The sequence below is a fragment of the Homo sapiens genome, chromosome 15, assembly GCF_000001405.40.
Source record: "Homo sapiens chromosome 15, GRCh38.p14 Primary Assembly".
Taxonomy (NCBI): Eukaryota; Metazoa; Chordata; class Mammalia; order Primates; family Hominidae; genus Homo; species Homo sapiens.
The window spans coordinates 64668172-64680410 of NC_000015.10; the positions used below are offsets into that span (position 1 = coordinate 64668172).

Genomic DNA, 12239 nt, shown 5'->3' on the forward strand with positions numbered 1-12239 from the left:
CAAAATGTTAATAATAGAAATCTAATGTTAAGAAAGATAACCAATAAAAACCAGGACTTCCACTTCAGAGAAGATGGAGTAGACAGATTTTTCCCTATTCCTCCCCTAAATACAACTAAAAACTCTGGAAATTATTTATAAAACAAATACAACAAGACTGTGAAACGTGGAAGAAAGAAGGCAGACCAGCCATGGGTCACAAGACCTTAGAAACAACATGGTGATGAGTTCCCTGGGTTTTCTTTTTGTCTCTAATATCCCAGACATGGCGCTAAAACTGAATATTATATTTAATGGTAAAAGACTGAATGGAGCCAAGTGTGGTGGCTCACACCTATAATCCCAGCACTTTGGAAAGCCAAGGCAGATGGATTGCTTGATCTCAGGAGTTCAAGACCAGCCTGGGCAAAATGGTCTTGACAAGAGGATAGCTTGAGCCCGAGTTTGAGCCCAATCTGGGCAACATAACAAGACATTGTCTCTAAAAGAATTAAAATGCCAGCCAGGTGCGGTGGCTCATGCCTGTAATCCCAGCACTTTGGGAGGTTGAGGCAGGCGGATCACATGAGGTCGGGAGATTGAGACCAGCCTGACCAACATGGAGAAACTCTGTCTCTACTAAAAATACAAAATTAGCTGGGGGTGGTGGTGCATGCCTATAATCCTAGCTACTTGGGAGGCTGAGGCGGAGAATTGCTTGAACCCAGGAGGCGGAGGTTGCAGTGAGCGGAGATCACACCATTGCACTCCAGCCTGGGCAACAAGAGCGAAACTCCGTCTCAAAAAAAAAAAAAAAAAAAAAAAAAGGAATTAAAATGCCAAAAAAAAACCCTATATAAAACATAATTTTTCTTTTATCAGATTGGCAAAGAACAAAATGAGAACATCATGTTGCCAAAGGAAAAGGGCAAGAGGTATTCATGGGCTACTATAAATGGGTATATGAATGAGTATGTCCTCTTTGAGGCAATTTGGAGGTGGTTTGGCCGTATTTGTGAGAACTCCAAATACAAGTGCACTGTGATTAACAGTTTTACTTACAGGAATTCATCTTACAGACATATTTGTGTAGGTAAAATGAAGCATTTGTACAAGATTATTCATTGCAGTTTATTTGTAATAGCAGAAGATTGAAACAACCTAAATGTCCGTTCAAATGCTGCCATTGAAAAGAATGAAGTAGTTCTCTGTCTACACATATGGAATGATCCAAAATATTTGGGTACATGAAAAAAGCAGTGTGCAGAACATTGTGTGTATATTGCTATCATTTAAGGAAGAATATATGAACATATTTGCATATATACATATAAAATATCTGTGGAAGACTTTTGGATGTTTCCAAGTAGGGGAACTGGAAGACTGAAGAACAGTTATGGAAGGGACACTTCATTTTATATTAGGGTTTGTTGGAGATTTTTTTTGGTTGAGGTGTGGGGACTACCTTTTGAATTTTGGAGTAAGGCTACATTACCTAGTCAAAAGCTTTATTTTTTTATTTTTTATTTTTTTTTGAGACGGAGTCTCACTCTGTCACCCATGCTGGAGTGCAGTGGCGCAATCTTGGCTCACTGCAAACTCCACCTCCTGGGTTCAAGTGATTCTCCTGCCTCACTCTCCTGAGTAGCTGGGATTACAGGCATGCACCACTATGCCCAGCTAATTTTTGTAATTTTAGTAGAGACAGGTTTTCCCCATGTTGGCCAGGCTGATCTTGAGCTCCTGGCTGCAAGTGATCTGCCTGCCTTAGCCTCCCAAAGTACTGGGATTACAGGCGTGAGCCACCACTCCCGGCCAAAAAAAAATTTTTTTAATTATCCAGGTGTGGTGACATGCTCTTGTGATCCCAGCTACTTGGGAGACTGAGGTGGGACGATCGCTTGAGGCTGTACTCCAGCCTGGGCAACAGAGCAAAACCCCATCTCCAAAAATAAAAATAAAATGTGTCTTGACAAAACCATGAAGTCTTTACAACTGTTACCCATCCTAAGGGACCTCAGTAGCATTGTAGGCAATTCCTATGGAACTATTCTGGCCCAATCCTATTTGTCCCATTGGTACCCAGAGTACCTCCTAAACCCTCTTATAGAAGTCAGAGTGCTGATCAAAAGAATACTATTCTCAGTGGCAAATGGGGTGTGTCTTGTCTATATCTATGTGCTCTTATTTTCCAGGGATGTTGGTGGTAAATGTAACGTGGAGGAACAAGACATATGTAGGTACACTCCTTGACTGCACACGACATGATTGGGCACCCCCAAGGTAAGCACTTACAGCTATTTAGTTTATATTATTCTGAACCACACTAATTGGTGATCCCTTATACTTTTATCCTGCTAGAGTTGTACATCCAGCTTTTAAAGGACATGATGGTATAGATACCAGGGAAAGCACTGTATTTATCTGACATTCAAGAAGACTGAATGGCCAGGCGCGGTGGCTCACGCCTGTAATCCCAGCACTTTGGGAGGCTGAGGCAGGCGGATCACCTGAGGTCAGGAGTTCCAGACTAGCCTGACCAACATGGAGAAACCCCGTCTCTACTAAAAATAAAAAATTAGCCAGGCATGGTGGTGCATGCCTGTAATCCCAGCTGCTTGAGAGGGTGAGGCAGGAGAATCGCTTGAACCCAGGAGGCAGAGGTTGTGGTGAGCCAAGATCACACCATTGCACTCCAGCCTGGGCAACAAAAAGCGAAACTCCATCTCAAAAAAAAAAAAAAAAAGAAGATGAATTGTGTATTAAAGTGTTCGGGGGGCCGGGTACGGTGGCTCACGCCTGTAATCCTAGCACTTTGGGAGGCCAAGGCGGGTGGATCATGAGGTCAGGAGATCGAGACCATCCTGGCTAACACAGTGAAACCCCATCTCTACTAAAAATACAAAAAAATTAGCCGGGCGTGGTGGCGAGCGTTTGTAGTCCCAGCTACTCGGGAGGCTGAGGCAGGAGAATGGCATGAACCCGGGAGGCGGAGCTTGCAGGGAGCCGAGATCGCGCCACTGCACTCCAGCCTGGGGGACAGAGCAAGACTCCGTCTCAAAAAAAAAAAAAAAAAAAAAAATTAATTAAAAAAAAATAAAGTGTTCAGCGGGTGCTCACTTCAGTGGTACATATACTAAAATTGGACCAATACAGAGAAGATTAGCATGGCCCCTGCACAAGGGTGACATGCAGATTCGTTAAGTGTTTTATATTTTTAAAATTAGGAAAAAAAAGTGAAGTGTTGAGGGGATGCACTTTGACTGGAATTATTAAAGTCACCTTGAGACCAAAGCTATAACATCTAACCATGGGTGAGCAAACATTCATTGATGATAGCTATTTCTCAGAAATTTGAACTCAAGAACATTTTTAGTTTTATAAACTCTACTAGAACATACGGGTTTCACAAGGACCTTTTCATGTCGCAATTTGACCTTTAGATGGATATTTCAATCAATGGCCCCTTATAGCTTTTTCCTAATATTAGTACTCAGTTCGTCAGGGTTTGGGAAATCCAGGCGTTGAGGGTAACTTGCAACTAACATACAGGTAACATCCTAGGAGCTTACCAATTAATGCAATTCCCATGCAGTCACAAGTTTCTTTGTTGGATCATATTCATTGAAAATGGTAGTTATTATCTGAACAGTTCTTTTAGGAAAAGTATCTTAAACCTTCATCTGCCCATTGTTCCCATGAAACAAAGATGGGCAGAAATGTCCCAAGGAAAGGTATTTTAAAGTTCTTGATTCCATACCACTTTCTTATTCTCAGATGTGATTATTCTCTACCGAGGGCTATTTATGCCTCTTAATTTTCAGAGATGCTGGGCCAGGTTTCTAGAGGCTTAGACTTTTTTTTTTTTTTTTTTTTTTTTGAGATGGAGTCTCGCTCTGTCGCCCAGGCTGGAGTGCAGTGGCGCAGTCTTGGCTCACTGCAAGCTCCACCTCCCGGGTTCACGCCATTCTCCTGCCTCAGCCTCCCGAGTAGCTGGGACTACAGGCGCCCGCCACCACGCCCGGCTAATTTTTTGTATTTTTAGTAGAGACGGGGTTTCACCGTTTTAGCCAGGATGGTCTCGATCTCCTGACCTCGTGATCCTCCCGCCTCGGCCTCCCAAAGAGCTGGGATTACAGGCATGAGCCACCGCACCCAGCCCAAGGCTTAGACTTTTATAAGACTATATTCAGGCTGGGTGCGGTGGCTAACGCCTGTAATCCCAGCACTTTGGGAGGCTGAGGCGGGTGGATCACCTGAGGTCAGGAGTTCGAGACCAGCCTGGTCAACATGGTGAAACCCTGTCTCTACTAAAAATACAAAAATTAGCTGGGCATGGTGGCTCATGCCTGTAACCCCAGCTACTCGGGAGCCTGAGGCAGGAGAACCGCTTGAACCAGGGAGTTGGAGGTTGCAGTGAGCTGAGATCGCTCCACTGCACTCCAGCCTGGGCGACAGAGCAACACTCCATCTCAAAAAAAAAAAAAGACTATATTCAGACCATAATAGTTGCCCTGATAAGAATCAGAAGCAGGCCAGGTGCAGTGGCTCACGCCTGTAATCTCAGCACTTTGGGAGGCCGAGGCGGGTGGATCACAAGGTCGGGAGATCGAGACCATCCTGGCCAACACGGTGAAACCCCGTCTCTACTAAAAATACAAAAATTAGCTGGGCGTGGTGGCTCATGCCTGTAACCCCAGCTACTCGGGAGCCTGAGGCAGGAGAACCACTTGAACTAGGGAGTTGGAGGTTACAGTGAGCCGAGATCGTGCCACTGCGCTCCAGCCTGGCGACAGAGCAAGACTCCATCTCAAAAAAAAAAAAAAAAAGAATCAGAAGCATATGAGCTAAAACAAGTTAGTAAAGTTCTTTATGCCCTCCCTTTGCATTTCTGAGAAACCTATTGGAAGGACTTATTTCTGCTTTGGGCATGCAAGAATCCAGAGAGATAGGAGCTGAGTGAGTAGGTTGATAACAAGGAAGCAGTAAGTAGCTTTACAGTAGAACTGTTCTGGGAACCCAAAGGAGATATTTGACAAAATTTGCCTCTTTTCTGCAATAGCTATGGTTCCCACTGTCTTAGAAACAACCTACTCCAGCTGCCCCCTGGAACAAGAGAGTCAAAACCATCTTTAGATTTACAAGGGAACCAATCTTAGCTAAAGGTTTAATTCTAGGCAGTGTTTTAAGCTCCATGAAAAGCTACTTTAGGGCCTATGAGGAGTGACCCCTAGGTGCAGATCTCCAGACATTCAAAGAACTCATGTACTCTTGGTTATATCTGATGTTTAGGGAACTCTTAAATGGATAGGTGCTTTGTTCTACCTTTCTATATCTTCATAGTGAGGTATGTAAGAAAAAGGCATTGGGCTAAAAGTAGAGCTAGAGTCTTGTTGTATGTTGCCATTAATCAGTGATGTTACCTTGGACAAGTCATTTAGCATGCCTGGCCTCAATTTCCTGTATGATCTCTAACATCTTTTCTGAAACCATGACTATGGCTGTATATAGGAAATGTTGACTTGACTATCTTACGGAACAGATTCTGCATGGTTTTAGAGGTAAATGTTTGGGAATAATTTGCAGCTAACGTGTATCCCAGGAGTTCACCATTTAGTGCAATTCACAATCAGAATTTCTTTTAACAAATCATATTCATTGAAAATGATAGTCACCATCTGGACAGTTCTGGAGGCTACAGCTAAACTGCTTTGAAGATGTTTTCTCTTCTTAATAATATTCTGTTGTGTTTATCCTTTGCCAAGGTTCTGTGACTCCCCGACCAGTGACCTGGAAATGCGCAATGGCCGGGGTAGAGGCAAACGCATGCGTCCCAACAGTAATACACCTGTCAATGAGACAGCCACAGCCTCTGACAGCAAAGGGACCAGTAACAGCAGCAAAACCCGGGCAGGAGCCAATAGCAAAGGCCGTCGGGGCAGCCAGAATTCTTCAGAGCACCGCCCACCTGCCAGCAGCACTTCTGAGGATGTCAAGGCCAGCCCTTCCTCAGCTAATAAGCGGAAAAACAAACCCCTTTCAGACATGGAGCTGAATTCTAGCTCAGAGGACTCCAAAGGGAGCAAGCGTGTCCGTACTAATTCCATGGGCTCAGCCACTGGCCCCCTTCCTGGGACAAAGGTAGAACCCACTGTTCTGGACAGAAACTGCCCCTCCCCCGTCCTAATTGACTGTCCCCACCCAAACTGCAACAAGAAGTACAAGCACATCAATGGACTTAAGTACCACCAAGCTCATGCCCATACAGATGATGACAGCAAGCCGGAAGCGGATGGGGACAGTGAGTACGGAGAGGAACCTATTCTCCATGCAGATCTTGGGAGCTGCAACGGTGCATCTGTCTCACAAAAAGGTTCCTTGTCCCCTGCCCGCTCAGCTACCCCCAAAGTTCGACTTGTAGAGCCCCATAGCCCTTCTCCTTCAAGCAAATTCAGCACAAAAGGCCTCTGTAAGAAAAAGTTGAGTGGGGAAGGGGACACAGACCTTGGGGCCTTATCCAATGATGGCTCTGATGATGGACCCTCAGTGATGGATGAAACAAGCAATGATGCCTTTGATTCTTTAGAAAGGAAGTGTATGGAAAAAGAAAAATGTAAAAAACCCTCTAGTTTAAAACCTGAAAAGATTCCTTCCAAGAGCCTAAAGTCAGCCCGTCCCATTGCCCCTGCCATCCCCCCACAGCAAATCTACACCTTCCAGACAGCCACCTTCACAGCAGCGAGCCCAGGCTCTTCCTCAGGCTTGACCGCCACAGTGGCACAAGCCATGCCCAACAGTCCCCAACTCAAGCCCATTCAGCCCAAGCCCACTGTTATGGGAGAACCTTTCACAGTCAACCCTGCCTTGACTCCAGCCAAGGACAAGAAAAAGAAAGACAAAAAAAAGAAGGAATCTTCAAAGGAACTTGAAAGTCCTCTGACCCCTGGGAAGGTGTGTCGAGCAGAGGAAGGCAAAAGCCCATTCAGGGAATCTTCAGGAGATGGGATGAAAATGGAGGGGCTCCTAAATGGCTCATCAGACCCCCACCAAAGCCGACTGGCTAGCATCAAGGCTGAAGCCGACAAGATCTACAGTTTCACGGACAATGCCCCCAGCCCTTCCATTGGAGGCAGTAGCCGCCTTGAAAACACTACCCCTACTCAGCCCCTGACTCCCTTACATGTGGTGACCCAGAATGGAGCTGAAGCCAGCTCAGTCAAAACCAACAGCCCTGCATACTCTGACATCTCTGATGCTGGGGAGGATGGGGAGGGCAAGGTAGACAGTGTCAAATCAAAGGACGCCGAACAGTTGGTTAAAGAAGGGGCTAAGAAAACTCTTTTTCCCCCTCAGCCTCAGAGCAAAGACTCACCATATTACCAAGGCTTTGAGAGTTACTATTCTCCAAGTTATGCACAGTCCAGCCCTGGGGCTCTGAACCCCAGCAGCCAGGCAGGAGTGGAGAGCCAGGCCCTGAAGACAAAAAGGGATGAGGAACCTGAGAGCATAGAAGGGAAAGTGAAGAACGATATCTGTGAAGAAAAGAAGCCCGAGCTGAGCAGTTCCAGTCAGCAGCCCTCGGTCATCCAGCAGCGTCCCAATATGTACATGCAGTCCCTGTACTACAACCAGTATGCCTATGTACCCCCCTATGGCTACAGCGACCAGAGTTACCACACCCACCTTCTGAGCACTAACACGGCTTACCGGCAGCAGTACGAAGAACAGCAGAAACGCCAGAGCTTAGAGCAGCAGCAGCGGGGAGTGGACAAGAAGGCAGAGATGGGCCTGAAGGAGCGGGAGGCAGCACTCAAGGAAGAGTGGAAGCAAAAGCCGTCAATTCCACCAACTCTCACCAAGGCCCCCAGCCTGACAGACCTGGTGAAATCAGGACCTGGCAAGGCCAAGGAGCCAGGGGCTGACCCAGCCAAATCAGTCATCATTCCCAAGTTAGATGACTCTTCAAAACTCCCGGGCCAGGCCCCTGAAGGCCTTAAAGTGAAGCTGAGTGATGCCAGCCACCTAAGCAAGGAGGCCTCTGAGGCCAAGACAGGTGCTGAGTGTGGTCGACAGGCAGAGATGGATCCAATACTCTGGTACCGACAGGTAACTGTTGCCCTGGGAGGAAGTGGAAATACCGTATGGTAATCGTCTATCTTCCTCACAAATAAGGGCTGTCCTTATACAGGGGTTCAACGGAATTGAGATTAGCAGGAGAGATGTATAATTTTAAGGATTCTTTACCTTTGTAAACTATTTTAATGTTTTTTATTTTATTTTAGTATTATTATTTTTTTTGAGATGGAGTCTCACTCTGTTGCCCAGGCTAGAGTGCAGTGGTGCAATCTTGGCTCACTACAACCTCCGCCTCCCAGGTTCAAGCAATTCTCCTGCCTCAGCCTCCCGAGTAGCTGAGATTACAGGCACACGCCACCATGCCCAGCTAATTTTTTTTGTATTTTTAGTAGAGATGGGGCTTCACCATCTTGGTCAGGCTGGTCTGGAACTCCTGACCTCAAGTAATCCACCTGCCTCAGCCTCCCAGAGTGCTGGGATTACAGGCATGAGCCACTGCACCCAGCCAATTTTTATTTTATTTTATTTATTTATTTATTTATTTTGAGATGGAGTCTGGCACTGTCACCCAGGCTGGAATGCACTGGCGCAATCTCAGCTCACTGCAACCTCTGCCTCCCAGGTTCACACGATTCTCCTGCCTCAGCCTCCCGAGTAGCTGGGATTACAGGTGCACGCCACCACACCTGGCTAATTTTTTGTATTTTTAGTAGAGACGGGGTTTCACCATGTTAGCCAGGATGGTCTTGATCTCCTGACCTTGTGATCCACCCACCTCGGCCTCCCAAAGTACCTGGATTAAGGCGTGAGCCACTGCGCCCAGTCGTAATTTTTTTTATTTTTATGTTTTTATAGAGACCAGAGTCCCTCTGTGTTGCCCAGGCTGGAATGCAATGATGCAGTCATAGCTCACTGCAATTTCCAACTCCTAGGCTCAAGCAGTCCTCCTGCCTCAGCCTCCCAATTAACCAGGACTACAGATGCATGCCACCACACCCAGATGATGTTTTAATTTTTTGTAGAGAGGGGTCTCACTATGTTGCCCAGGCTGGTCTTGAACTCCTGGCCTCAAGCAATCCTCGCGCCTCAGCCTCCCAAAGCACAGGGATTCATATTAATGTTTTTTAAAAAGCACTTTTATATCCATAGCAGGTGTTTTTTCCATTTGACAGGAAAGGCCCAGACAAGTTAGCTTAATTTGTCTGGGGTTACTTGAGACCTCACTAGCAGAGCCAGGATTAGAACCCAGGTATCTCGATTCCTTGTCCGTGTTTCCTCCACTGTTTGGTTCCTATGAAATGAGTTATTGATGGTCTCTCTATTTTTTAGAGTAGGTCCAAAGTATACTCAGTTACTGAGTTTCTTTAACAAGGATTTTATAGGTTGAGTTAGAACTAGGAACTTGGAATCTCATATCTTGCTCTGCTCATGAGACTTAGAATGTCTTCCCTTCCCTCTTGGTATAATAGTTATGCTTCCCTCCCTCCTCTGATCTGAGTGTCACTTATAAGCTTTCCAGTCCCTGAGCGTGCTCTGAAAAAGTGAAACAATCTAAACATATTGGAAGGGGCAGCCTCTCCTATTTCAGTCGTTTTCCCAGAATGCTTGTTCTTACCTAGAAAACATCCACTGATGCATGGATGGATTTTCCTTTTCTCCCCCTGCCCCATCTTGTTCCCTGTGGGTGGGTGCAGAGGTGGGGGCGGGGGCTTTTTAACCAAAAGGGAGCAGAGTTGGATTATAAACAAGATCAGTAGAGGCCAAAATCCTACTCTGCCCCAGGTGTCTAGTACTAATTATCTGCTCTGGTGGTTCTACTGGGACCTTGGGCTTGAAGTATATCTGTCTTATCTGTACAACACCCAGTCGTTGTTCTGTGATTGTTGTAGGAGGCAGAGCCCCGGATGTGGACATATGTTTATCCTGCCAAGTACTCAGACATCAAGTCAGAGGATGAGCGGTGGAAGGAGGAGCGGGACCGCAAATTGAAGGAGGAAAGGAGTCGGAGTAAGGACTCTGTCCCCAAGGAAGATGGGAAGGAAAGCACAAGTAGTGACTGCAAGCTGCCCACGTCAGAGGAGTCTCGCCTTGGGAGCAAGGAGCCCCGGCCAAGTGTCCATGTGCCTGTGTCCTCCCCACTTACCCAGCACCAGTCCTACATCCCCTACATGCACGGCTATTCCTACAGTCAGTCCTACGACCCCAACCACCCCAGCTACCGGAGCATGCCTGCTGTGATGATGCAGAACTACCCAGGTACAGCACCAAGTGCCAGCACTATTCCATTCACTGGAAGGGGGAATGAAGCACAGATTTCACATCCAGAGTTTTCTTGCTCAGCCCCAAGGCATATTGAGGCTCGCTTAGATGACGGACCTTTTTTCACTGAGTCATTCTGTGAGGTGGCCACCATAACCCATAGTTCCTTGAATGACCCATAATGATAGTCTGTGTGACTACCTCTCTCTCCCTTGCTCCAGCTCAAGGATTGTCTCTGTAGTCAGTTTTCATTGCTAACTAAAGGTAAAACTCCTTCTCTGTCACTGCTGTCTCCCCTCAGCTGGAATTTGTAAACCATATACTCCACGTTTTGCAGTGTGCTAGGCACTGTGGGAGGTACAAAAGAAGTAGAGCCATTGAGTTCCTTCCACTCCCGGAGCTTACAGCTTAATCATAGTGGAGAGACACAAAGAACAAATAAAATGCAAACCATAACAATGCATGGATTCAGTTGCCAGATCATGTTCACCTGTCAAGTAAGAAGAGCCATCTGAAGTCAGACTGGGGGGAGGTCCTGCTAGATTCAGCTTGGAAAAGACAAGCTCTTTATAGTGTTTAAATGTTTTTTGTTTGTTTGTTTTTTGAGACGGAATTTCACTCTTGTTGCACAGGCTAGAGTGCAGTGGCGTGATCTCGGCTCACCACAGCCTCCACCTCCTGGGTTCAAACGATTCTCCTGCCTCAGCTTCCCAAGTAGCTAGGATTACAGGCATGTGCCACCACTCCTGGCTAATTTTGTATTTTTAGTAGAGACGGTGTTCTTCCGTGTTGGTCAGGCTGGTCTTGAACTCCCGACCTCAGGTGATCCGGCTGCCTTGGCCTCCCAAAGTGCTGAGATACAGGCATGAGCCACCGCTCCGGCCTTAAATGTTTTTTAACTTGTTAGAAGAAAATGCTCTTATTTAACTCTACTCGTTTTGTTGCCCAAAGAACCATGTGGGGTGCTTCTGGGGTGGAAGGGCACTGCTTTAGCCTCACTCCTTAGAGCCTCCAGCTTCCTACAGCAGCCTAAATAGTCTCAACATTCTGGTGACATTATTATAAAGCACACTCTAAATAGAAATAAGCTTTTCAAACAGAAATAGGAAATTTCTTACCCTTGAGGTGTTCCTTTATCCCTGTCACTCACACCCATCAATATAAAAATCATAGTTGCATTTGTTGAGTGCTCGCCCTGAGCCAGGCGCTGTCCTCTGAGATTTATAGACATTATCTTTTTTAATCCTCCCTATCACCTTAAGTAATAAGTATTGATATCTTCATTTTTGATGATGAAGAAACTGAAGCTCAAAACAGTTATTTATTTGCTCAAGGTTACCAAGCTAGTAAGTCTCAGAGTAAGGTTTTGAGCCCAAGGCTCTGACTCCAGATAAGTGTGATCTTTCCACTTTATCATATCACTTCTCCAAGATGAATCTGAGACCAGTTCAAAGAACAGTATCAGATCTATGGAAGTTGGAAGCAGGAAACAGGGCCATGTTCCTAATATCCCTTAGCTAATTTTTCCTGTAGAGCTCAGTAAAGAAAGGTCAAGCCAACAGTCTCAGCCAAAGACACTATGTTAGAAAATACCTCAGCCTGTGCCTAGGAAAGCTGATGCCCACCCAATCAAGCTCACTAAAGCAGAGTTTCCTCTACCTCTCCCATCTCTTTGACTGTTTGATTTCTCCTTCCACAGGTTCCTACCTGCCTTCCAGCTACTCTTTTTCCCCATATGGCAGCAAGGTCTCAGGTGGTGAAGATGCTGACAAGGCACGAGCCAGCCCCAGTGTGACTTGTAAATCCAGCTCAGAGTCCAAAGCCCTGGACATCTTGCAGCAGCATGCCAGTCACTACAAGAGCAAGTCTCCCACGGTAAGAAAAGTACAGTGATGCTGGCTGTTACCCAAAGACTAGTAAGGCCA

At 46.1% G+C, this 12239-nt stretch overlaps 1 protein-coding gene and 1 pseudogene across 5 annotated transcripts in view; both read left to right on the plus strand.

Moving 5' to 3' along the window:
- ZNF609 (zinc finger protein 609) overlaps window positions 1-12239 on the plus strand; it is a 226491-nt gene that overhangs the window by 208594 nt on the left and 5658 nt on the right. For all 5 annotated transcript variants that reach the window (XM_047432263.1, XM_047432265.1, XM_017022021.2 and 2 more), the window contains exons 4-7: window positions 2175-2262; window positions 5745-8085; window positions 9945-10311; window positions 12014-12189. In XM_047432263.1, the coding sequence (XP_047288219.1) occupies window positions 2175-2262; window positions 5745-8085; window positions 9945-10311; window positions 12014-12189 (2972 nt within the window). The remainder of the gene's footprint in view (window positions 1-2174; window positions 2263-5744; window positions 8086-9944; window positions 10312-12013; window positions 12190-12239) is intronic.
- On the plus strand, window positions 3092-3197 carry RNU6-549P (RNA, U6 small nuclear 549, pseudogene; annotated as a pseudogene).